The sequence below is a fragment of the Homo sapiens genome, chromosome 3 (genome assembly GCF_000001405.40).
Source record: "Homo sapiens chromosome 3, GRCh38.p14 Primary Assembly".
Taxonomy (NCBI): Eukaryota; Metazoa; Chordata; class Mammalia; order Primates; family Hominidae; genus Homo; species Homo sapiens.
In genome coordinates, this window is record NC_000003.12 from 197,658,711 (window position 1) to 197,684,765 (window position 26,055).

Consider the following 26,055-nt stretch of genomic DNA (forward strand, 5'->3'; position numbering starts at 1 on the left):
CCTTACATCACCCACAACTTACCCCTGACCTGTGCCTGGCTGTGGTGCCCGCAGCCTGGGCTCCACATAAACACAGGCCAAGAAGTCCCATCTGCAGCCTCCCACCCCAAAGGTTTCCGGCAGTCCGGGCTCCCTGGGCACCGGCCCTGCAGCCCCCACAGACAGAGAGACCCGTGTGTGAAGTCCGGGATCCTCAGGCACCAGCCCTGCAGCCCCCACAGACAGAGAGACCCGTGTGTGAAGTCCGGGCTCCCCGGGCACCGGCCCTGCAGCCCCCACAGACAGAGAGACCCGTGTGTGAAGTCCGGGCTCCTCAGGCACTGGCCCTGCAGCCCCCACAGACAGAGAGACCTGTGTGTGAAGAATCCGTTTGAGGGACAGTGCTGACCCTCCAGGGCTGGGTCACGGAGGCTCCAGTGGCTTTGGTGGGACTCCTGGCCAGGCTCCTCCTGGACTGGGCCTGGGCTGGTCTCCGGCCTCCTGCCTCCCTTGGTGCAGGATCCTTGCTCCCCAGCTTCCCTGGGAAATCCGACGCCTTCTGATCCTGCATGCATCCGGCACCCCTGACGCTGGCGGAGTTGCCTTTCTGCGTGTATAGCTCCTAACAGGGCAGCACAGCCGTTCTGAAACCTCACACATCATCACTGGGGTGGCTGAGGCTGGGCCACCTGGTGTTCACCTCCTGACCCTGGAACTGTGCAGAGAACCTCTCTTCAAATAGGAGGCAGGTCTTTGTGGCTGTGTTTAAGTTAAAGATCTTGAGATAAGGAGGTCATTCTGGATTAACTCGTTGGCCCTACATGCACGGCAAGTGTCCTTACACAGAGGCAGAGGGAGGTTAGACGCAGACAGAGGAGGAGGCCTCCTGGAGACCGAGGCAGAGGTGCAGCATTGTGGCCGCGGCCCAGGGACGCCTGGAGCCACAGAAGCTGGTGGAGGTGGCAGGGTCCTCCCCTGGAGCCTCTGGAGGGAGCACGGCCCATGGACTCGATTTCAGACCCCTCCCTGCTGAGCGGGGAGAGAATGAGTCCCTGTTGTTTTGAGCTGCCCAGACTGTGGGGATCTGCCATGGCAGCTCCAGGACCCTCAGACCTTCGGCTCAGAGCCCCTCCAGCACTGAGCAAGACGACCACTCAGGGCCGCCCCTCCCCGCCCAGCCAGCATGTGCCTCGCTGCTCACCCGACCATGCAGCCCTCAGTTACAGATGCCTGCCCGGGATACGTGGGACGGGGGCTGCGGCTTCCCTGGGGACGGGGTGCGTGGAGCCTGCCTGCAGCCGTGTTCCTGTTTACGTGCTGAGTGAAGCTGGACCTGGGTGGGATGGGGCATTCTGCCCAAGGGTCTCTTGGGGGGTCCATGAGGACTGTGTTCTGACGATACTGCCCTCCTTCCTGAGGCTGCCGTGGGGCTCCATGGAGGCCATGGGGTGGTGAGGACGGAAGAACACCTAGGCTGGGCTCCTGGGACCCCAGCAGCAGCTGAAGGCACTTGGAGCACCACAATTCCCACCCACGGGCCAGGCAAGGCCAGAACCGTCCCCAAAGAAGGGAGCAAGGAGACACGGCCTTTTAGTGATAATATCATAACCAAAAAGTTCTTTAACATTTTTTCATTTTTTTCTGTCACTCAATATTTTTAAAATTATATGTCCATTTTTTAAATTATTTCACCCATCTAATCATTGCCATCTATACCAAACAAAAAAATCTATGCACCGGTGTTCACAAAGCATTTAAGATGCCTGTGAAATGTAATAAGAACTAACTGCAGCTGCACAATATTCCCTCGTATGTATGTTATCACCATGCTGACGCTGGGCACTCAGAGCATTTAAAGGTTTTTATTATAATGAATTCTGCAATGAACATCTTTCTATATAAATTTTTGTGAGTACTTTGCATTATTTCCTAAAATAAATTAGAAGAAGGAATGATGAATCGGAGAATGTAAACACTTGGAGCTTTTGAAACACACAGTTTTTATAAATTAGAGTCTGTAGTTTTAATTCAGGGAGATTGTTGTGTCTCAGAAGATATTTCACGGTGAAGTCTCACCTGACGGCACTTCCTCGTCCTCCACAGAGCCGTGTGTCTAGGGCCCGGGGTGCGGAACGGGCAGTTCTTCAACACAGTGAGCGGCAGCGGGCGTCCCGAAGGTTCTCAGGCCTTGTCTCCGTGGAGGGCATTTTGTGGCCTCTCCCAGGGCAGCCGGCAGGAGCCAGGCGAGAACAGATGCGTCTGTAGCAGGAGGGCGTTGATGCCTCTGAGGTTGTAGCGAGGTTGGTATTTACCTTTTCCTCCTGGTCCATTCTGAAGCTCCAAAGAACGGTCAGTTTAATACAGAGACACAATTACAGCAAGCATCTAGTGTGAGGCGAGTCACGCATTTTGGCTAGAATTACTCAGGGCGTTGGAAAATCACAAACCTTTTCAAGTAACTTGCAAATTGCTAGCATTCTCTCTGCAAGACAAGAGGTGCTGTCTGTGCCCTGACCCCTGACTCCACACCCCAGCTTGTTCTGCCCCTTTCTGATTGTTCTAAGTAACTGACATACTTAGAGCAGTTTAGAGCCACGTCGTGGCCTTTCGAGGCCGGCGTGCTGTGATATTTTCCTACAGAGCGCGGTCACTTCCAGAGGCGAGAGAGGCACAGAATTCTATTCTGAGAATCCCTGGGACGCACGCCGCGGTGGCTGTGAGTATGAAGGCAGATGCTGTGGAACAGCCTGGAAAGGAGGCGGGGTCCGTGGCCCCTGGCAGTGCCCGGAGCTGAGCAGCCACCTTCCTGGAGGAGAAGCCCTGGGCCAGATGCCTGAGAATGACACACGCAGGCCCAGCTGTTCTTCAGAGATACAGAGCGACCCACCGTCTGCTTTGCTGGGACTGTCCAGTGTTCGCAGGGAAAGTCCTGCATCCGGTACGCTGGGGCGGTGGCTGCACCAGCTGAGAACCAGTCTCTGATTTTCGGGGTGAGAAAAGTAGAGGTGGGTGCTCTACCTGAATGCTCACCAGCTCAGGGGTGCAGCTGAGCAGTGGACATCAGTCAGACATCTCTGTGAAGTGTTAGCTGGAAGAGTATCATGGAACCATTAGCAGCCACTTGAGGTTAGGCCCAAACCAGTGGGGCCCACCGCATCCAAACACTTGGGGCCACCTGCCGTCATCAGGGGTGGCCCACCTTTCTTCTGAGCGGGGATTCTCTTCCTGCCTGGAGGCAGCAGTTTGGCTACAGAGCTGCCTTTGAGAGCGAGACCCCGTCTCCCCTCCCTGCGTTCCCAGGACTTTGTGAAGAAGAGAAAGTGAGTGGCTCTTCCTTTCTCCTGAATCTCGGCTGTGGGGCTGCCCGCCGCCCTCCTCCTCCCACCCTAGGCTGCCTGACCCATGGAGGCCGGCCTGAGACAGACGCATCCCCGAACACCAAGTGCCCCGTCTTCTAGGCCATTCCAGGGACGGATGAGTCAACATGGGCTTCTTATCCTAATGTTTTAATCTGGAACTCCGCTATTGATCTGATGTTTACAAAGGAACCCACGCGTGACATTAAACTGTCAAAAGAGAAGCCTGCACCCTGCGAGAATTCCTGCCTGAGATACTTTTTGTGAGTGTAAGTGCAGAGAGAGCCCACGCAAACCACAGGACACCAGAGCCACCGCCCTGCCCCTCCAAGCTGCTGGCACTCAAGCTCACCCTCTCTGGAGGAGCCATCATTCTGGCCTCAGATTCTCCTTCCAAAACACTGCAAACAGAATGTCAGGCAAAGAAAGAAAGAGCCAGGCACACATGGAGAGATGGCAATGTGAGTATAAGCGGTGAGAAACCCAGCAAATGAAAACATCTACATGAGAATGCAGACGCAGCACCCTCAGACGCCGGCTGCAGAGAGCGCTGGAGACATTGTCCATGAGAAGAAAAAGAGAAGGTCAAGAACTTCAGTGGAGAAATAAAAATTACACAAAAAGGAAAGATTTGGGTTTTTTTTCTTTGCTGATTGTATTCTTCCTATTCTCCCTCCACTTTCTTTTTAGAACTCCAACTTTTCTCATTGCGTTCTCTATTTTCTTATTGCAGTCTCTATTTCTATGCCTATTTGTAAATGCAATACAAAGATGATTGCCTGGGAAAAATACAAGCAACATTTCAGAACTCAATAAGTGGGTTTAAAAATAGTTTAGATATCACTGAACAATAATGAATAACTAGAAAGTAGGTCAGAAGAAGATTCTCAGAATGAAGGACAGAAGCATAAGGAGGAAAATAGAGAGAGCAAGTGTGAGGGACTGAACCGCGTCCTCCCAGAATGCCCATGCGGAAGCCTGGCTTAGTTCTGGCTGCCATAACAAAATGCCATAGACTGGGGGCTCAGAAACAACAATGCATTTCTCACAGCTTTGAAGACTGGGGAGTCTCAGATCAAGGTACCGGCAGATTCCGTGTGTGGTGAGGACCGGCTTCCCTGGTGTGTCACTGCGTCCTCACATGGGGGATGGGGGAGGGGCGCTCTGGGGCCTCTTTTATGAGGACACCGATCCCATGATCAGCGGTCCACCTTCAGGACCCCGTCCCTACCACAGGCCCCATCTCCTAACACCATCGCCTTGGGGGTGAGGATTTCAACAGATGAATTTCGGGGAACACGGACATTCAAACCCTCACAAAGCCCCACCCACCAAGGAGAGTCTGTCTGGAGAGAAGACATTAGGGAGGTAATTAAGGTGAAGTGCAGCCAGCAGGGTGGGGCCCTGATCCGATAGGACTGGAGTCCTTATGAGAAGAGGAAGAGACACCAGATTGCGTGCGTGTGTGTGCATGTGTGCGTGTGTGTGCACGTGTGTGTGCATGTGTGTGCGTGTGTGTGCATGTGTGCGTGTGTGTGCACGTGTGTGTGCACGTGTGTGCGTGTGTGTGCACGTGTGTGCGCGTGCACATGCGTGTGCACAGAGAAAAGGCCTTGTGCACACAGGGAGCAGGTGGCCCTCCACAAGCCAGGAAGAGAGGCCTCACTAGACTAACCCTGTCCCTGTGTTGATCTTGAACTTGCAGCCACCAGGGTTGTGGAGCCCCTGGTCTGTGGTGCTGGCTTATGGCAGCCCTACTGCCCCAGTGAGATGGGAAGAGACAGCAGACACAATGAGAAGACACCACACGTGAGTAACTGGAGTTCTGGGAAGGAGAGAAAGAATAGGCAAAATCAGTATTTAAAGTGGTAATGGCTTAAAATGTTCCCAAACTGACGCAAGCCACCCCGGCCCCGGTGGGCTGCTTCTGACCCTGTGACCCGGGGCTGTCACCGCAGGAGCCTCCCTGGCCGCCTGGCTATTTGCTGTCACCACGGCAGGCCTGCTGTGGCTGCCTCCCCTCTGCAGATGCCACCGGGTGCCCTGGGGAGCGGCAGGCACTTCCTTTCCCGCACTCAAGATGCCCACATTTTGAAAACCCGAGGGGGCACATTGGATTCTCCAACTACACACTTTCAAAAGCCAAATGGAATCAACCTGGGTGCCTATCAATGGATGAATGGATACAGAACACGTGGTATCTTACGCAATGGAATACTCCGCAGCCATAAACAAGAATGAAATCATGTCGTTTGCAACAACATGGATGGAATTGAAGGCTGTCATGTTAAGGGAAGTAAGCCGGGGTAGAAAGACAAATGTACCATGTTCTCACTCATTTGTGGGCACTGAAAGAGTGGCTCTTACAGAGGCAGAGAGTTGGCTGGTGGTTCCCAGAGGCTAGGCAGGGTGTGTGGGTGAGAGGCAGACAGAAAGTGAGGCTGGTTATGGGGCACAAACATGCAGTCAGGTGAAGGAGTAAGTTCCAGTGTTCCATAGTACAGTTCACAGACCAAAGGCAACAATCAGTTACTGTATATTTCTGCCTCCTCCTCCCCGGGAAGCAGCTGGCCAGTGCATCAGGGAACACAGGTCTCTTTCCTCTGTCTTCCTCCATCAGGCTCCGGAAAGCTTTCCCCAGAGAAGACGCCAGACAGCAGGGGCTGCCTCCCGGGGCTTTTGTGACCCAGCCTGTTTCTCCATCCGAGCTGCAACCTCTGGGTGGGGGTGTCTGCACCTGGGGTGTGTGAGAGTGAGTGAGGGAGCGTGCCTGTGCCTGTGTGCGTGCATCTGTGTTCCTGCGGGCTGTGCCTCTCTGTGCACGTGTGTGCAGCCATGCGTGCGTGTTCACACGTGTGGAGTGTGTGCGTGCGTCCGTGCCTGGGTGTGGCGGGTGGTGAGGCTGGCAGAGCGTCCTGACCCCTCGGGCCCCAGGCCTTGTCCCTCTTCTCCGTGTCCCAATCTTCCTTCAACCGCCCGCCCCGCCCCTGCCTTTGGTGGCCTGGAGTCCCCACCGGCTCTGGGTACTAGGGCGCCGGGCAGCGCGGGAACTAACGGGCAGAGTCTGTGGGGTCGGGATGACTGAAAACAGGCCCTGTCTTCGGTTTAGGCTCAGGCGGAAACCCCCCGGGGGCCTCTGGGGGCTGCGGTCGGTGCCAGGGGTCCCGGGCAGCTGCCTGAACGCGCACAGCGGCTCCTGCCCCGCAGCCTCCGCCCCGCGCCCGCGTCCTCGGGCCGGCAGCGCCCCCTGGTGCCGCCTCGGGTCTGTGCAGGGCCGGGCGGGCTGCGCGGAGCACCTGCAGGCGCCTCCATGGGTGACGGAAGACAGAGGGGCTGACCAGGTCTTCTACAGGTCAGTGGGCGATCAACAGCTGGACGCGTAGCAGGGGGCAGCCAGGTGGCCTAAGAGAATTCAGCAAGGCCGACTGCAGGCCGAGAGTCACCGGGAACTCACCTGGAAGGAGTGGATGTGGCCGCCCCAGGACCACCCTGTTCCAGGTGCCCGGCCCCGGCCGTGGAGCCCTTGGACGTATCTGTTTCTTTAGCTGCAGCGAGCGGGGTCCCGGTGCTGAGCAGAAGACCCTGTGCTGCGGTCCCTGTGCTCCCTGGCAGCTGTGCGAGGAACTCTGACCTTTGGGGCCCCTGGGCACCTACCCTGTTGGTTCCTGCTCTGGGCTGCCGAGGGCTGGGTGCTGTGCTGTGTAAAAGGCCGTATGGACGGGGCTTCTGTGTCCCCTGAGTCAGGCACTGCACCCTTATGCTCCCCTCAGGGGCCACACCACCTGCAGTGGTCCCTGGAGAGCAGAGGAAAGGTCCCCCTGGGCCAGATGGGGGCAACTGGTGGGCATCCTGCCCACCGACTGGTTGGGGGGCCTGGCTCTGCAGGAACGGAGGGGGGGCGGGCCAGGGGCTTTCCCTCCAGGTGTGGTAACAGATCAAAGAACATCTACCCCAAACCAGACCGGACTCAGCACACACCTTACCCAGGGCTCCAAAGACACCAGAATGGGGAGTAGAGAGGGAAAGAGACCAACAGAGACAGAGAGAGGGAGAGATTCAGAGCAAGGCGGGGTGGGGTGCGGAGGAGAGGAGGAGAGACCCCGGCCCTTCTCACCTCACAGACCGCTCGGGCTAACTTGGCCCCACCCCCACCATCCACCCTCCAACCCCACCCCCACCGGCCCCCAGGGCTGAGCAGAGACCTCTGGGACATGGTCGCGCACACACAGAACCTGTCCCAGAAGGCAGGACCCCGTCCCTGCCCCAGCTTCCGGCTGGCAGGGCTGTGTCAATGACTTCTGGCCAAGCGACACCAGGAAATGGCATTCCGTGGGGTCAGGTGGCTCCTCAGTGCCTTTTCCCGGCTTTTCATGTAAAATCATGGCAGGCAGCATCGGGAAGTGTCCCACACCCCTACAAGCTCAGGGGGTGGCCACCTTTACCCACAGAGCCAAAACGTGGGCGCAGGCTCCCCTCTGCAGTGGACGCGCTGAGGGCACACCCAGGCCCCGGCCCCCTCAGCGGCATCAGAGCAGCACACAGGGCCCGGTGAGGGTGGCCTCCACCCCTCCACCACACCAGGCATGGCTCGGAGCCAGGCCGGAGGGAGGGCGTCAGCTCTGCAATGCATCCAGTAGTTTCCACCCTTGGCTGTGAAGAGCGGCGTTTCCTGACAGAAGTTTCTAGCACATGTGTGCTGGCGAGGATGCGGTCGTCTACTTGCTGGGCACACACTGTGCCAGGCTGAGTGGAGGCCCCCAAAGATGTGCAGCCCCGCAAACCTGTGAGTGCCGCCTCAGATGGCAACATGATGACAGGTCTGGAGCGGGGAGAGTCTCCCGGGTCACCCACCTGCACCCTGTGCTGGGCCAGGTAGTGCCCCCCACCCCACCAAGATTCACATCCCTTCTCCGGGGAAGATGTGCGCGATGTGACAGCCCGTGAGTCCGTCCATTCCGGGGACACTATGGGGGTCACTGCGGGGGGCGGGCAAACAGAGGTGCTTCAGCCCACACAAACAAGCTAATTGAGTTTTTCTGTTTGTTTGGTTTTGAGCGAAAACGTGAACATTTTGTCCAGCTGCTTTTTAGATTCGAGAGCAGGAGCAGCCAGCACTGCTGAGGCAGTCACACGTATACAGCTTCACGGAGCAAGCACCCAGCCAGGGCCTTGCTGACTGTGGCTGCTAATAAAACAGCAGCAATTTAGTTTCATAAAATTGCTAATAGTTTTCTTAAAATGCCATTGCACTTAAGCATACACAGGGACACCCCCATCGTCTCTGCTCTCCAGCGGGAGGATATGAAGCTGGAGACTGGAGACTGGCCAGGGACAGAGGCAACTACTCCCTGAAATGATGTCACCCTGTGCAAGCACCTTCCCCAGGCCAGGCCAGGCCTCAACACCCCCAAGCACCTTCCCCAGGCCAGGCCAGGCCTCAACACCCCCAAGCACCTTCCCCAGGCCAGGCCACACACCCAGGGTCCAGGAGGCGGGAGTGGCAGTCTCATCACCATGCTGGAACAAGCAAGTGCCAGCCCATCTTTTCACTCATTGTCTTATTTCCTCAAGGTCCAAATTCTAGGGAATGAATTCAGACAATCCAGCTTGATCCATATGCCCAACCCTTGGTGATAGGTTTTAACAAAACAATTGTTGGCCAGACAAGCGGCTCACACCTGTAATCCCAGCACTTTGGGAGGCTGAGGTGGGCAGATCACCTGAGGTCAGGAGTTCAAGACCATCCTGGCCAACATGGTGAAATCCCATCTCCATCACCTGAGGTCAGGAGTTCAAGACCATCCTGGCCAACATGGTGAAATCCCATCTCCACTAAAAATACAAAAATTAGCCGGGTGTGATGGCGTGCACCTGGGGTCCCAGCTACTCAGGAAGGTGAGGCACGAGAATCACTTGAACCCAGGAGGCGGAGGCTGCAGTGAGCCAAGATTGCTCCACTGTACTCCAGCCTGGGTGACAGAGCAAGACTGCGTTTCAAAAAAAAAAAGTTTCTGATAAAGTGTTTCTGGGGAAAAATGCTATCTAAGGAGTAAAGAGAGGGCTTACTCTGTTCTCTGAGACTCGTGAGTTGACTGGGCACATTGTGGAAAGAATGCAGGCTAGGTAAATATTTGTTTGGCTGGTCACCTCTGCCTTTTCGGTTGTAAGACTTTACTTGTACTTGGGTTTGAAGAAGGGTGGCCATGGCCAGTACATGCTACTGAAGGAGTGACTCTGCTTACAGGTGCTTATGGCGGGAGCTCCAGGCCAGTCCATTAGTGCTGTTTGTAGTGTTTGGAATAGTCTGGGAACCTTCTGCAAAAGTGTTCAGGTGGCCATTGGCTGAACCTTCCACTCTAAAACCTGACCTTCAAGAAGGCTTTTCCTGAGTCCTATGAGCCCTCTGCCTCCTACTCTTACTCCTGCCCCAGCCTTCCCGGAGACCCTGATGAGTATGAGCCTACCTTGGAAGCCACAGTTCCTCCAGGACTAAGGTAATGCTGAGAACCCTACAAATCAGGGACGAAAACCAAGGTCGCGAAGCCTGGATTTTCAGGTTTTATAGAAATTCTTAGGTGCCTTCTCCCTGTGTGCTGTCAGGGCATTGGGGCTGACAGAGGCACCCATTTGCAGCAGAACTGGGGTGAGGCTGAGGGGATCAGAAAGGGAGGAGCAAGGGGTATTTTCTGGGTCAACACAGGCCAGCTTATCTTGTGCAGAAGGATGTCTCAGGGGTATTTTAAAGCAGCCTTTATCTTGACTACCCTTCAATACAGATATACTTTTGTACATTCCCTCTGTATTTCAAGGAAAAGAATCTCTAAAATTAACTCTTTAATTTATGGAAAATGACTCATTTACAGCTAATTCAGTAAGCAGATAAGAGGAAAAAATACTCCACAATGCCACCATTCTAACAGAACCACACTAATTTTTACGTATGTTTTCCTTATGTATTTTTTCTAACCATATTTTTGCATAACTGTAATTATGATGTACATATGCTTTTTATATAGGTAAACTTCTTAATCTGGAATAATTTTAGATCCACAGTAAAGTTGCAAAGATAGTACAAATTCGTCACATAGCCCTCACCCGATTTCAGCTCTCCCTAATGTTACCATCTTACATTACTGTAGTACTGGACATTTCCCAAAACTAAGGAACCAACATTGGTATGTTACTTTTAACTAAACTCCAAATTGTATTCAGATTTTGCCAGTTTTTTCACTAATATCCTTTCTCCATTTCGGGATCCCACCCGGGATCCCACATGGCATTCAGTCATCGTATCTGCTTAGTCTCCTCTCGTCCGTGACGGCATCTCTTTCCTTGTTTTCGAGACCTTGGCAATTTTGAGTAGGGTCAAGTGTTTTGTAGAAAGTTCCTCGAATTTTGCTCCTGTGTTTATGTTGTTTGTTGTTTTTCTCATGATTAGACTGAGGTTATGGGTTTCTGAATGAATGTCAGGGAAGATGTACCCCTTTCATTGTATTAGTAGGTACATGACATCCAATGACATCTTTGGAGATGTTAACGTTGATTACTTGGTTAAGGTCGTGTTAGCTCTCTCTACTCTAAAGTTGCTATTTTCCTCTTTCTATATCCTTTTATTTAAAAAAGTGAATCACTAATTCCAGTCCACCCTCAATGGGAGAAGGAATTAAACTCCACCTCCTGGGAGAATTTACGTATTTTGTTTAGAATTCTTCTGTGAGAATTTATTTATTTGGTCATTTATTTATGTATGTATGGACTAATAAATATATATTTGACATACACTTTTTCTAACTTCTTCTCACATAACATTGTATTACAAGACTTTTTCCCCATGTTACTATCATAATTTATTTTTTTGTTTGAGACAGAGTCCCACTCTGTTGCCCAGGGTGGAGTGCAGTGGCGTGATCTCGGCTCACTGCAACCTCCGCCACCCGGGTTCAAGCAATTCTCCTGTCTCAACCTCGCGAGTAGCTGGGATTACAGGCGCCCGCCATCATGCCCAACTAGCTTTTGTATTTTTAGTAGAGACAAGGTTTCACCATGTTGGCCAGGATGGTCCCAATCTCTTGACCTCGTGATCCGCCCGCCTCGGCCTCCCAAAGTGCTGGGATTACAGGCGTGAGCCACTGTGTGCGGCTCACTATCATAATTTTTATAACTGTCATTTTGATGGTTGCATCAATTTTTTTATTTTCCATTAACTTTTTACTTTCATAAATTATGCTGCAGTAAACATCTTTAAACAATATTCTGTGATTCTTTGTACTCTCAGCTCTGGCATGGTGTCTGGAACACGGAGGCATCTATAGATGTTTGGGATTGACGGATGATTGAATGAATAAATAAATGCTGGGCTGCCATTGTGAATCAATGGTCCTTGTTTTCCTCTTCAACAGTCTTTCCAATTTTGGAATATGATCATCTAAAATCTAAGTTAAATGTTGAGAACAGAAGTTTGGGAACTTACTGGAAATCAAGCTTTGGCTTCCTGTGAACTACACCAGTTTGTAACAATGAACAAAAGGGCCTTAGAACAAAGTGAAGGTTTTGTACTGTAAGCTATTTTCCTATCTCTAGTTGAAAAACATTTGAACATTTTATCAACTTCAGCAGTCTTTCACATGGCTTTTTCATTCTCCTCTCAGTTTAATTTGTAAATATGAAGATTTTTAAATATGTAGGGTGTGTTTACAGCATATAAATATCATCTTATCTCCTGGTTTAGTCCCTGGCAAGGAAAGAGCTGGCAGTTTAATAATAAAGTGACTGAAGGACATTTGGGATGTGTGTCCTCTGATGATGACTGCTGGACAAACACAACAGGAGCAGTTGCAGACAAAGTAGCTGAGGGAGAAGACAGGAGATGAGGACACGCTCACTACTGCAGAGACTTGGTGAGCACTAAGAGGGGAGGTAGAGGTGGTCACAATCCCGCCCCTCATGCCACAGTGTGCTGGTGCTTTTTTTGTTTTGTTTTGTTTTTTTGAGACAGGGTCTCGCTCTTCATCCAGGATGGAGTGCAATGGAGCAAGCTTGGCTCACTGCAGCCCTCGCCTTCCAGGTTCAAGTGATTCTCATGATTCAGCCTCCCGAGTAGCTGGGATTACAAGCACATGCCACCATGCCTGGCTAATTTTTATATTTTTGTAGAGATGAGGTTTTGTGATGTTAGCCAGGCTGGTCTTGAATTCCTGACCTCAGGTGATCCCCCTGCCTTGGTCTCTCAAAGTACTGGATGACACTCGTGAGCCACCGCGCCCGGCTCCTCATCCCACAAGGTGCTTCTAATCATTGTTCCACTGAGGCGCAGGGAGGAAAATAATGTATGATCAAGAACACCTGAATTTGTGTGCTAGTGGCAGAAAAGTAATGAGAGATTTATTTTAGAGGAAAACATCCACAGAACTTGATGACAGGGAGTAGGAATGAGACGATGCGTGATGAGCTCAGTGTGCCACTTACAGAGGAAGTTGAAGACAATTAATTTTCAAACCTGGGTGACTAATGGTTAGGTTTTTGGAAATACGGAATTTATGCTGGTTTTAGACACACTGGTTGGAGATGACAAGGGGACATTTAAGGGGAAATGTTGAGAGAGTTGCAGCGTAGAGCTGGAGCTCCAGTGGGCCAGGAGCAGAAGAGAAAGATGCTAGCTGCTCACAGAAGTGGGAACTGAAGCATCTAAGGCAAGTCAGATGTTGCGGAGAGGAAGACACCTCATTTTAAGTGACAGTTACACCATGCACCAGAAACCCAGAGAAGTGAAGTGGTTCGCTCGAGGTCTCATGGCAAGTTAGAGACACAGCCACTCCACCTCACTTTCCTTGATGTGTGTGGTCCAGTTTGCTTTACATTATAACACAGAAACCTTCTCAATGTTCAGATATACCTGCTTTACAGTGGACACATGCCATTTCTTGACAGTCAAGGCAGGCTGACGAAAGACAGAATTTTATTTCCTTAGTTTATTAAAGATGACAATGAACTGCCAGGCTGCACAAGCACCACAGCAGGTGGAAACGCAGTTCAGAGCACGGGCGGCACACACGGAACATCTCTACTAAGACTCGCACTCCTTTTATGTTAGTTCAACGAAAGCTCTAAATCCTTGGCAGAGAACGTCAAAAACAGCCTCATTTAAGTGGAAAATATTTGTCTTCCACTCTTCTGCTATGTCTTGAATCTTGTCTCCACCTGGTAAGCAAACTATGTTTTTTTTCTTTCCCTTTACTTACAGAAAGAACACTATCACCTGCCTTCATTTAGAAGGAATTCTCTTCAGTGCATTCAAAGCTTCTCCCCGCAACAGCAGGGGATTTTCAGATAGTGGTAACTTGCAAAGTGCTTCCAAAACATCCCATCCTCTACCCACTTCCCCCCTCTTGAATAAATAACTGGGTATTTGGAAGGTGAGGACGGCATCGTGTCAGAGTCACTAAAACAGACGCACGATCTAAAGGGATGGGGTGCGGTTGAGGGAGCTAGGGAAAAATAAGTGACAAGTGAGGAGCCTATGAGACTGTTGAGTTCGGCTTCAGAAGCTGTCAGCATTGTCATCCTTTGATCCTATGCTGATGTGAAACAGGCAGGACAAGACGGCACATCTGTCCTCCAGCGCAGTGACCTGGAGAAAGAGCTGGATGTGTCACCTTTTTGTTTTTTGAGACGGAGTCTCACTCTGTCACCCAGGCTGGAGTGCGGTGGCGCAATCTCGGCTCACTGCAACCTCTGCCTCCCAGGTTCAAGCGATTCTCCTGCCTCAGCCTCCCAAGTAGCTGGGATTACAGGCGTGTGCCACCACGCCCAGCTAATTTTTGTATTTTTGGAAGAGACAGGGTTTCACCACATTGGCCAGGCTGGTCTCAAACTCCTGACCTCATGATCCGCCCGCACTGGCCTCCCAAAGTGCTGGGATTACAGGTGTGAGCCACTGTGCCTGGCCTGGATGTGTAATTTAAACCAAAACTGGAAGTAGAGCTCATTTTTATAAACTCCTGGGTCTGAATCTGGGACCTAACCCCTAGTTAAACTTGAGTTCTGTGGGGTCATTCTTAAAGCTCCCTGAAGGACCTGGGCACTTCTAGTCACAGCCCTTCAGAACTTCTGGGACTTGGCTTTTTGAGTCTCACTATGAACAGAAGGGAGAACAGCCTCAGGGTCTTCTAGCCCTACATGGCTTTCAGATCCCAACTTTGAGGCAGAGGAATCAAGGGCAGGGGCCAGTTCCCACATGTTCCCTCTCACGCTGGTGGAGCCTCAGCCCTGGCCATCACCTTAATGCCTCTCCCACTTCCCTGGGAGACTCCTTCTTACCGCCAGCTCAAGCTCTCATCAGCTTCCACCAACCACAGGCAACTTTCCGCTCAGCTTCCAGGGCAGCACCCACGCCCATTTCTTTCCTACCAGCAAGCAACTATGAGAAGACATGCCCATGGGCAGAATTCAATCCCAGAACAAAAATGATGCAGGCTTTAGTTCACAGAGCTGCCAGCTCTTGGAGAAGCCACTCTGACCAGTGTTTTCACAGAGGTTAGAAGCTGCATCAACTTAAGGAACATCACAAACACACACATGGCCCCACCCAAGGACTTCACTGTCAACACACACATTAACGGGGGGGAAGGGGGAGGCAGCACACCAAAATCAGCATTATCAAAAGGACTTCACCATCAACACACATTAACGGGGGGAGGGGGGCAGCACACTAAAATCAGCATTATCAAATGAACAGATAAACATTACCAGGCTACACAGAGTTAAGTGCATAATTGGCATAAAGGCTCTTGTTATCCCAAGAACACAGGGACATTCACACTCACATCCACAAACCGTCAAGTTCTGTAACAGCACTAATAGCAGGAAGCTTTTCTCCAACTTTGACCAAAGAAGCTAAGGCAAGAGAGACTCGGCCACCAGGGAAGGACCCAGCTCTGCTGCAGGAAGGGGAGAGAACGGAGTCGGGTTGTACTTTTACTCAGAAGCACAACGACCATCTAACAGAGGACAGAGTCATCAGGGACACGCTAAGAAGATGGTGGGTGAGGTTCCTGTCCTCACCTTAGGATGGCATCAGGGACCTGCCTGAGCTTCAAAGATCACACCTGCACCAAAAAGCCAGGTTAACTAAGAGACCTTAACACCAAGAGGGGGCCGACCGCTCCTCTGAGTAAGCGCTCCTTCAGCGACAGAGCTGGCGCCTCACGTATGCTTGCGGCGTAAGGCTACAGGTGAGCCTGGCCTGAGCATCAGTTCTGTTCTTTGCTTCAAGATCACCAAGGTAGATGAAGAAAGTCAGCTTGTGGCATCCTCTATGCTTCAAATATTTCAAACAGGAACTCCCGGCAACATAGGGACATTCACAGCTGCCTCTGAGGTCTCTGAGGAGTCTAGGATAGTCAGGATTGTTCTGTGGCCCCCAAAATACCCAAATAAGTGGACGAAATGCCCATGACGTAGTCCTATTCTCTGCTGCTTCTCCTCGGGGCACAGTCTGACCCCAGTCCAGGACAGGGAGAGGGAAAACGCCATCCCCGTTTCAGCAGCAGGAGAGGTGGTTGAGAAAGGCCTGGCTCAGAAGCTCCAGAACTGAAACAAAGGAAAATTGGAAATGATACCTGACATGCAGGTGAAACCTAGAGGAGAAGGCCACAGACGCTGGAAGAACTTGGTCTTGCTGTCTCTTCCACTGACAGAGGCACTAGAAGCTTCACTGAAGGACCCGCATGTCAGTTCTGATGGAAACACCTGGTGTTTACAAATTATCTGTCACCACAGACTCTGGACCCATCAACCTGCCGACGGCTGACTGCACACAGACGTCAGACAAGTCAGTAAAAAAAAAAAAAAAGATGATGATAATTAAAAAAAAAAAAAAAAAAAGAAGCCCCAGGTGGGGCGAGTCCTTCAAAGAGTGGCTCAGTTCTGCAACAGGTGTGACCCGGCCCGGAGGGAGGGCTGCACGTGCTTTCTTCAGGTGGCCTCCAGGACGGCGGCTTCCAGGGCCAGCGCTTCCGCGGGCTCCTCCTCGTAGTCTGACAGGTAAGACTCCAGGCTCTGCCTGGCCAGTGCCTCCCGCCGGGCCTGCAGCCGCTCGCAGCGCGGACAGCTTCCAGACTTGAAGCAGGCTTTATGGTAACACGCTTTACACTCTACTCAGGTTGGGAAGGTGGGGGAGAGAAGAAAACAATTTGTATTATCTCCAGCTAGAGGTCAGTTGCTGCCACAGCCCCTTCTCGCCACCAAGGCGTGGTGTCCCCTGGGGAGGCCCCGCGAGGTGCTGAGTGGCACCGAACTCTTGCTAACAGGGGTGGCTCTGGGGAATCAAGGAGCCCTGTGTTCAGGCTCACTTGCCCGATGCCTGCACCTGCCCTCACCTTCACAGGTCCGGCACTTATGGAGCTCAAAGGGAAAGATGATGTCATCCTCATTCTGACAGAACTCACAGATGAAGCCTTTGGCTTGGCAGAGCTGGGGAGGAAAAACACAGATGGCAAAATGAGGAGCGGCACATCAGGAACTGGCACGGGAGGGTGAACACCGAGGAGGGGAGTGGTCTACAGGGTTCTGCTGCCCACAGGGAGGAGGCCTGGGCTGGACTCAGAAGCATGAAAGCTAAACTAGGACCAGGGCCGGGCAGCGTTAGACAAAGCTTTAGGCAGAAGATCAGACAGGCACCAGCCGGAGAAGCTCCGACCCCCAGCGCGGCTCTCCATGAAGAGAGGAGAAGGAGGAAATGGCACCACAAAGGGCTTCCTAAGCCGACAGTCCCATCTGGGTCATGATTTTATTTCAGAATAGGAACCACAAGCAATTAAGATAAAATGTGGAGACGAGGCTGTTCCTCAAACACAGCTCCAAGCCTGGAGTCAGGTTGTAGTGAAGGATTTCCAGTTCCTCCCAGACACACAGGGTTTCCTACCTGTGCCCAGCTCGAATTATGGGACGGTCACAGGAACATAAACTGGGCATAGGCTAAGACAGGAAGTTCTAAAAGTGTAATTTCTGCATTTTCAACATGTTGAGTAGATGACGACAATAACGACGTGCGTTTGAGGAATACATAAAGTATACAAAACGCTGTCATACAAATTACCCCATCAACCCTCAAAAATACTGAGAAGAAAGTAAATTATTCTCTTCATCTTAGAGCCAAGAAAATCGAGGCCTCAGAGGGGACAAAGTATTTATTTTGGTCATAATGACTGAGAACAACAAATGACGGCCGAGGGTAGACTCCCTCTCGATTCCAATCCAGAGCTCTCCTCTCACATCATGACAACTGCCTTTTTTTTTTCCACTCTTGTCGCTCAGGCTGGAGTGCAGTGGCATGATCTCGGCTCACTGCAACCTCCGCCTCCTGGATTCAAGCAATTCTCCTGCCTCAGCCTCCCGAGTAGCTGGGATTACAGGCACCCGCCATCATGCCCGGCTAATTTCTGTATTTTAGTAGAGATGGGGTTTCATCATGTTCGTCAGGCTGGTCTTGAACTCCTGACCTCAGGTGACCCGCCCACCTCGGCCTCCCAAATTGCTGGGATGAGAGGCCTAAGCCACCGTGCCTGGCCAACACTTCTTGAGTGAAAGTCTACTCGGTCTTGCCCGGAGCTACCCAGGACCACAGCCAGCACCAGCTCCTCCCCTCACTCGAGGTTCTTTAGATCAGGATGATTTGGCTGCTCTCCAGGCTAAGGAACAGCAGCCCTTTCCAGTTCCTCTCCCAGTGCTGACTGGCCATTTCAACTTCCTCAAGCTAAGTGGCAAGAACCCCAGGTCCACCCCCCTCCCTGTATCCCTAAAAGCAAGGGCTCAGCTGCATGCTACAGTGAGACTTTCTCACCATGCATCTCTCCACATGGGTAGCCCCTGCCCTGGTGAGCTCAGCAAGCCGGGGCCCCAGCTCCCCCTTCCTGGTCGCAGTCAGGTCATTCAGTGAGTACAGGTGGAGGTCCTCTGTCAGGTGGCCTGGGACTGTGTCAAAGGAATCCAGAAGCCTACAGGGAGTGACAGGAGGCAGGTGAGGGAATGAACAGTGCATGTGCCACATCGTAGTAGAAGGATCCCTATCCAGAAACTGCAGAAAGTAATGAGGGTGGGCACCCATCAGCCAGCCCAAGGTTCCAGGCCGCCGCAGCCGTTCCACGCTATTAGGTGTCTGGATGGCAGGAGTGACTGATTTATAGGCTCCTGCAGAGTGGCCCATGTGAGACCCAGCCTGGGAAGAGAGGTGGCCTGTCCTGGATGGAATGACCACAGATCCCCTTCCAGAGAGAAGGACACAGATACAGTTACTGCTGTGGCCTCCTGTTTACCACTTTACAGTTCTGCAAAATCTCTCTACTCTCCTTCGTTACATAACAAGAGCCAAGCGCGGGGATGTGTCCCTTTCGGAGACAGCAACGTGGCCAGAGGGCTCTAGCTCCAAAAGGACTTACTCCTTGGCCAGTCGGCAAGTCTTGAACATGTTCTTCATGTGACACAGCTGGACCCGCAGCAGCTGAAAAGAAAGAGAGGGGGGCAGGAGTGGGAGGGAGATGTGAGAAGAGGAATCCAGTGTGGGAAGCCCAGGGCCTTTAAACCCTGGGGTTCTAGAAGCCTTGCATGCTGCACCCAGAGCAGACTGTCCTACGCTCTGACAACTGGCTCCAGACTGTCCTATGCTCTGACTCGACACCTGGCTTCAGATTGTCCCACACTCTGACTGACAACTGGCTTCAGACTGTCCTACGCTCTAACTCGACACCTGGCTTCAGACTGTCCCACACTCTGACTGACAGCTGGCTTCAGACTGTCCCACGCTCTAACTCGACAACTGGTTCCAGACTGTCCTATGCTCTAACTCGACACCTGGCTTCAGACTGTCCCACACTCTGACTGACAACTGGCTTCAGACTGTCCTACGCTCTAACTCGACACCTGGCTTCAGACTGTCCCACACTCTGACTGACAGCTGGCTTCAGACTGTCCCACGCTCTAACTCGACAACTGGTTCCAGACTGTCCTATGCTCTAACTCGACACCTGGCTTCTGACTGTCCCACACTCTGACTGACAACTGGCTTCAGACTGTCCTACGCTCTAACTCGACACCTGGCTTCAGACTGTCCCACACTCTGACAGCTGGCTTCAGACTGTCCCACGCTCTAACTCGACAACTGGCTTCAGACTGTTGTATGCTCTAACTCGATACCTGGCTTCAGACTGTCCCACACTCTGACTGACAACTGGCTCCAGACTGTCCTATGCTCTGACAACTGGCTTCAGACTGTCCTATGCTCTAACTCGACAACTGGCTTCAGACTGTCCTATGCTCTAACAACTGGCTTCAGACTGTCCTACACTCTGACAACTGGCTTCAGACTGTCCTACGCTCTAACTCGTCAACTGGCTTCAGACTGTCCTATGCTCTAACTGACAACTGGCTTCAGACTGTCCTACGCTCTAACTGACAACTGGCTCCAGACTGTCCTACGCTCTAACAACTGGCTTCAGACTGTCCTACGCTCTGACTGACAACTGGCTTCAGACTGTCCTACACTCTGACAACTGGCTCCAGACTGTCCTACGCTCTGACAACTGGCTCCAGACTGTCCTACGCTCTAACTGACAACTGGCTTCAGATTGTCCTACGCTCTGACAACTGGCTCCAGACTGTCGTATGCTCTAACTGACAACTGGCTTCAGACTGTCCTACGCTCTAACTGACAACTGGCTCCAGACTGTCCTACGCTCTAACAACTGGCTTCAGACTGTCCTACGCTCTGACAACTGGCTCCAGACTGTCGTACGCTCTAACTGACAACTGGCTTCAGACTGTCCTACGCTCTAACTGACAACTGGCTCCAGACTGTCCTACGCTCTAACAACTGGCTTCAGACTGTCCTACGCTCTGACAACTGGCTCCAGACTGTCGTATGCTCTAACTGACAACTGGCTTCAGACTGTCCTACGCTCTAACTCGTCAACTGGCTTCAGACTGTCCTACGCTCTGACAACTGGCTCCAGACTGTCCTACGCTCTGACAACTGGCTTCAGACTGTCCTGTGCTCTAACTGACAACTGGCTTCAGACTGTCCTATGCTCTGACAACTGGCTTCAGACTGTCCTATGCTCTAACTCGACAAGTGGCTTCAGACTGTCCTACGCTCTGACAACTGGCTTCAGACTGTCCTACGCTCTAACTCGACAAGTGGCTTCAGACTGTCCTACGCTCTGACAACTGGCTCCAGACTGTCCTATGCTCTGACAACTGGCTTCAGACTGTCCTACGCTCTGACTGACAACTGGCTTCAGCCTGTCCTACGCTCTGACTGACAACTGGCTTTAGACTGTCCTACGCTCTAACTTGTCAACTGGCTTCAGACTGTCCTACGCTCTAACTGACAACTGGCTTCAGACTGTCCTACGCTCTGACAACTGGCTCCAGACTGTCCTACGCTCTGACAACTGGCTCCAGACTGTCCTACGCTCTAACTGACAACTGGCTCCAGACTGTCCTACGCTCTGACAACTGGCTCCAGACTGTCCTATGCTCTGACCACTGGCTCCAGACTGTCCTACGCTCTGACAACTGGCTTCAGACTGTCCTACGCTCTAACTGACAACTGGCTTCAGACTGTCCTACGCTCTGACAACTGGCTCCAGACTGTCCTATGCTCTAACTGACAACTGGCTCCAGACTGTCCTACGCTCTGACAACTGGCTCCAGACTGTCCTACGCTCTGACAACTGGCTTCAGACTGTCCTACGCTCTAACTGACAACTGGCTCCAGACTGTCCTACGCTCTGACAACTGGCTCCAGACTGTCCTACGCTCTGACAACTGGCTCCAGACTGTCCTGTGCTCTGACAACTGGCTTCAGACTGTCCTACGCTCTGACAACTGGCTCCAGACTGTCCTACGCTCTGACAACTGGCTCCAGACTGTCCTACGCTCTAACTGACAACTGGCTTCAGATTGTCCTGTGCTCTGACAACTGGCTTCAGACTGTCCTACGCTCTGACAACTGGCTTCAGACTGTCCTACGCTCTAACTGACAACTGGCTTCAGACTGTCCTGTGCTCTGACAACTGGCTTCAGACTGTCCTACGCTCTGACAACTGGCTCCAGACTGTCCTACGCTCTGACAACTGGCTCCAGACTGTCCTACGCTCTAACTGACAACTGGCTCCAGACTGTCCTGTGCTCTAACTGACAACTGGCTTCAGACTGTCCTGTGCTCTGACAACTGGCTTCAGACTGTCCTACGCTCTGACAACTGGCTCCAGACTGTCCTACGCTCTGACAACTGGCTCCAGACTGTCCTACGCTCTAACTGACAACTGGCTCCAGACTGTCCTGTGCTCTAACTGACAACTGGCTTCAGACTGTCCTACGCTCTAACTCGACAAGTGGCTTCAGACTGTCCTACGCTCTAACTGACAACTGGCTCCAGACTGTCCTACGCTCTAACTCGACAAGTGGCTTCAGACTGTCCTACGCTCTAACTGACAACTGGCTTCAGACTGTCTTACGCTCTAACTGACAACTGGCTTCAGACTGTCCTATGCTCTAACTTGCTCTAACTCACTCTGACAACTGGCTTCAGAGTGCCCTCTAGTCAGGGAAGGCCCCTCCGCCAGGTCTGTCTGCCCGAGTCACATAAGCAGTCTGGGCAGAGGAGTGCTCCGAAATTCCAATTTCTTACTCGATACCCGATTCCTCATTCATTCACTAATGTTTTTAGTGAAGGAAGAAATTCTGCTTTTGCCCTCAAGTGCTATCTACAGCTTCCTAGCTGCCATTGCCACGTTTGAGGCTCCAACTAGACAGATAACCTGGGAAATGGGAAGAGATTAAGAAAGTACATAGTGAGGGCATGAACGGAGAGACGGTTATAGCTTTGACACTGCGATAACAAGAAGTGTGGTAATTGTGGGAAGCCCTATATAACCAGGGGAGGGGACAAGGAGAGGAGACGAGGGGAGGGGATGGGGGGAGGGGACAAGAGGAGGGGATGGGGGGAGGGGACGGGGGAGGGACGAGGGGAGGGGATGAGGGGAGGAGAAGGGCAAGACTCTAAGGTGGCCTTTTCCAAGGTCTTACCCGGACTTGATTGAGCAGCTTGACCTTCCTATAGAGGGCACTGTTTATGTCCTGCACGTTGAAGAGAGGATCATTCCAGATCTTAATGAGCAGGTCCTTGGAGAAGTTGCTGACGTAGTACTTGCTGAAGTCCCACTTGCGCAGAACCCGGCTGGGGATGGCCATCTGGGCATTCTCGTGGCAGCACTGGCAGAAGTACTTGCCCAGGTACTCACAGTACCGCAGTCGCTTGATGTAATCTGGAAAAACCGGAAAGCCAGAAAGCCAGATGTAACTTTCCCATCTACAAGCTGGGAAGGCAGCTCTGCTTTTCCCTTGAAAGGGCAGAGAGGGACAGCCAATGGCCTCCAGCAACCTCTGTCTGAGTTCCCCAAAGCTTGCAGAAATCCACATAGTGGATCCTGGGGTGATAATGTCCTACCTTGGAGGCCCTGAGGAAATAAAACCAGCTGGAGATAGTAAGATCCCGCCTTACCAGCTAGCTGGAACTACCCAACTTTCCACAGGATACAATCCTGGCCATGTGCTCCCAGAAATCATTTCCCTCCGATTGCCAGCACTCTTGCCTACTACGAACCTTTCTTTCTCCTTCCCTACTTCTGCCACGCCACCTCCTGCTACCGCCTTTGACACGCCACCTCTCCCTACGTGTCGGGGAGGGTACAGAGCCTCTGGAGGCAGCATGGTGGGAAGGGAAGGCACTCACCAGGGTCAGTCCGGATGCCACATCCTGCACAGCGGTAATTCTGCTTGGCCACGGCAATTTTCCTCCTGAGGAAGGGTAAGGACAGGGCATTGGCACAGAGCAGCTGCGTGAGACCTTGGAGGTGTGAAGGAGTGAGCACACATACATACAGCTCCAGTTAAGTATGGGAAGAGAGGGGAATTCACCTACATTTTAGTTGGACAAAAATGAACCTATTGGGAGAGCTAACTCCATATAAGATTTAGGTCTAGGCAGTCACTCTGCCCAGTAAGGAACCACACATTCTGTACAAATATAAGGAATGAGATGTGGTAAAGGAGAGAGAATGACAGGAGAGAAGAGCATCCATCTATCTTAGAAAGAGAAGAAAAACCAGCAAGCCCACACAACTACTGGGAGGAAAGCTACAGGTTGGGAATGCCAGCAAAACAAAACCCGCCTCGTTTCCAATTAGCTCCAGGAATTAAGAGTAAGAAACGAAGGACCAAATGGACGACGCCCCCCCTCTGCCTTTAAATGAAGAGAACGGTGTGGGAAGGACAGCTGGAGGCAGGGACAAGTGGGTGAGACGAAAACCCTGACAATCCAAAGAGGACGGATCTGTGCTCCAAAGGGCACAGACACTGGCCACTCACGTTGGGGCTGGATGAACATTAAAAATTATCTGAGGCCGGGGCGGGGCCCACTCCAAGTTGCCACGAACACGAATCCGCAGCTTGTAGATGTCAGCGTGCTGCCCGTCATCCGGTGAGATGGGCAGTGAGTCAGGAATGGGCAGGAGCTGCAGGAGGAAAGCACAGTTGGGGTAAGCTCGTGTCAGTGTGCTGCCCGTCATCTGGTGAGATGGGCAGTGAGTCAGGGATGGGCAGGAGAAAAACACAGTTGGGGTAAGTTCACACGGACGGGCTTGAGAAACAGAAATGCGGGACCCTTTTGGCCATGACAGAGCATAATGAGTGAAAGACATTTCAGGAACACCACAGGATAAGGGCTTCAGGGAACCTCAGAAACAACCAGGAGGCGCCAAGGTACTACAAGTGAGGGCCGTGGGTTCCAAGAAGCAAACAGAAACAGCCTACCAGGGCAGTGGCCCCACGGCTCATGCTGTCCCTGCACCCATCCCAGGACCCTTGCTGTGCCAGTGTGTTTCATGCCTTAAAGACAACTGCAGAGCAAAGAATCCAAGCGATTTACTTTTGCGTAGTGTCTCCGAGGTGGTCACAAACCAAACATGACTGAGTCTGGCGAGCAGTCACGTGAATAAGGACCGCGAACGCGCCGTCATCTCTGCTCTGACAAGGTGAGCAAGCATTCACTCGTTCATTTATCACTTGACACATTGTAATGAATGGCTTCCACGAGTAAGGGGGGAACACCCAGGCTCATTCCAGACTAGGGACATGTGACGAAGGAAAACAAGGTCACAGAGGCTCACGATGGCCCCTGGGTAGGAAGAAGAGCTAAGGACCTACCTTCTGAGGGGCATCATGCTCCGGGACAAGCCACTCCAGCTCCGAGGCGGCTGGAAGCTGCATCCCCTCAAACTGCTTCAGGAGCCCCATGGCCACCGCCTCAGCAGACGTGGAGTGCAGGAAGCAGTGGGAGCTGGAAAGGGGAGAATCAAGGACGGCTGAACACAGGGAAAGGATGGGCGATGCGAGGCTTCCCTTCATGATCTCATCCCCCACGCAGCAACTTCTGGGCTGGAAGAACACCCGCAGCACCCTGGCCTGCTCATCACCCTCACACATGGGACAGTCAAAGTCCACTAGTCTCACGGTCCTAAGACTTCGGTTCAAGCCCCACTTCCTGCCACTGCACGGCACTGCTAATGAAGGACTCTGTCACTTCCTTTCTCTGAACTTCAGCTCCTCTAACAGCAAAATGGAGATTATAATGCCTGCTTACAAAACAAAGTGAGTAAAATTGCTTTGTGGACTACAAAGCGATTTTTCCTCCCAAATGAGCTACTGTGTCCCCTGGTTGGGTCTATGATGTGGAATCTGTTCAATTTGATTTCATAACCAAAAACCATCATCACTGCTCTCTTTTGAGACCTTCTGGGGCCTCTGGTTATGATGAGAGTCAGCAGAGAAGGAATAACTCACTTCCAGCTTTGCCTCCACGAGAGCCCATCCCACTGGGACCAAAGAGCTTCTGCTTTCTTCCCGTGGGCTCGGCACCATCAGCAAGCCCCTCCCTTTAACCTCGCCTCCTCTTACATCTGGATGGCTTTGCCCAGCCATACACCAAGAACTGGGTTTGTTTCTCTACATATCCTAAGGTTTTCTTTTCTTTTTTTTGGTAAAAAAAAGTACTCACAAGGACTGGGAGGAAACGAAGGATTTGCTGCTTGAGGCTGTGTTCCTTCTGATGTCAGCATCTACATGGAAACCAGAGATAAGGGGAGCGCAATGGAAACGGGGTGGGTAAGGGAACCTGGAATCTATTACAAGGTGCTCCCAGCTAAGCTCTCAGGGTAACAGCCAGGTGCCACACTCTATGCAGGAGAAAGGAGCAGGTGAAGCTCTAAACACAGGTTATAATTTGCCTCTATCCAAATCAAAACCAGGCTGAATTAGTAACATTATGCATAGCACTGAAAAGGTCAAAGTGTTACAAACTCAGGCAGAAAGACAAACTCAGCTTTGGTGTAAAACAGTGAATGAGAAGACGAGCATCCTAAGGCACACAGGGACACAACCCCTCATATGCACAAACACAAAACAAAGGACTCAAATCTCTCCCTCACTCTCCACATCTTAACCTTTCTCAAATGGTAAGCTCCCTTAGGCAGTAACTCTGTCTGGCTTATATATATATACATATATATATACACACACACATATATACACATATATATACATATATACGCACACACATATATGTGTGTGTATATATATACACACACGTATATATATACATATATAA

General features: G+C 51.9%; 1 protein-coding gene, 1 long non-coding RNA gene and 1 other non-coding gene across 11 annotated transcripts in view, besides 2 other annotated features; all 3 read right to left on the reverse strand.

The window, feature by feature from the left end:
• Positions 1 to 1,826: 1,826 nt before the first annotated feature.
• LOC124906331 (uncharacterized) lies at positions 1,827 to 9,011 on the reverse strand. Its single transcript, XR_007096248.1, has 2 exons — positions 6,990 to 9,011; positions 1,827 to 6,072 (listed from the first exon to the last, which is right to left on the reverse strand). It is a non-coding gene; the product is annotated as an uncharacterized LOC124906331 (long non-coding RNA).
• Positions 4,770 to 5,283: an enhancer, noted in NCBI's record as "H3K4me1 hESC enhancer chr3:197390351-197390864 (GRCh37/hg19 assembly coordinates)". NCBI's record gives its function as "activates a minimal SCP1, AML or CMV promoter by ChIP-STARR-seq in naive H9 embryonic stem cells {active_cell/tissue: H9 hESC(naive)}" and the evidence as "EXISTENCE:reporter gene assay evidence [ECO:0000049][PMID:30033119]".
• Positions 6,826 to 7,339: an enhancer, noted in NCBI's record as "H3K27ac-H3K4me1 hESC enhancer chr3:197392407-197392920 (GRCh37/hg19 assembly coordinates)". NCBI's record gives its function as "activates a minimal SCP1, AML or CMV promoter by ChIP-STARR-seq in naive H9 embryonic stem cells {active_cell/tissue: H9 hESC(naive)}" and the evidence as "EXISTENCE:reporter gene assay evidence [ECO:0000049][PMID:30033119]".
• RUBCN (rubicon autophagy regulator) overlaps positions 10,157 to 26,055 on the reverse strand; it is an 80,954-nt gene continuing 65,055 nt past the window's right edge. For all 9 annotated transcript variants that reach the window (XM_006713831.5, NM_001145642.5, XM_047449268.1 and 6 more), the window contains 9 exons: positions 25,447 to 25,507; positions 24,597 to 24,729; positions 23,760 to 23,905; positions 23,125 to 23,189; positions 22,419 to 22,657; positions 18,770 to 18,831; positions 18,175 to 18,328; positions 16,712 to 16,805; positions 10,157 to 16,486 (listed from right to left, as the gene is read on the reverse strand). In XM_006713831.5, the coding sequence (XP_006713894.1) occupies positions 16,308 to 16,486; positions 16,712 to 16,805; positions 18,175 to 18,328; positions 18,770 to 18,831; positions 22,419 to 22,657; positions 23,125 to 23,189; positions 23,760 to 23,905; positions 24,597 to 24,729; positions 25,447 to 25,507 (1,133 nt within the window). In that variant the 3' untranslated portion in view covers positions 10,157 to 16,307. The remainder of the gene's footprint in view (positions 16,487 to 16,711; positions 16,806 to 18,174; positions 18,329 to 18,769; positions 18,832 to 22,418; positions 22,658 to 23,124; positions 23,190 to 23,759; positions 23,906 to 24,596; positions 24,730 to 25,446; positions 25,508 to 26,055) is intronic.
• On the reverse strand, positions 15,786 to 15,866 carry MIR922 (microRNA 922). The gene has a single exon (NR_030627.1). It is a non-coding gene; the product is annotated as a microRNA 922 (primary transcript).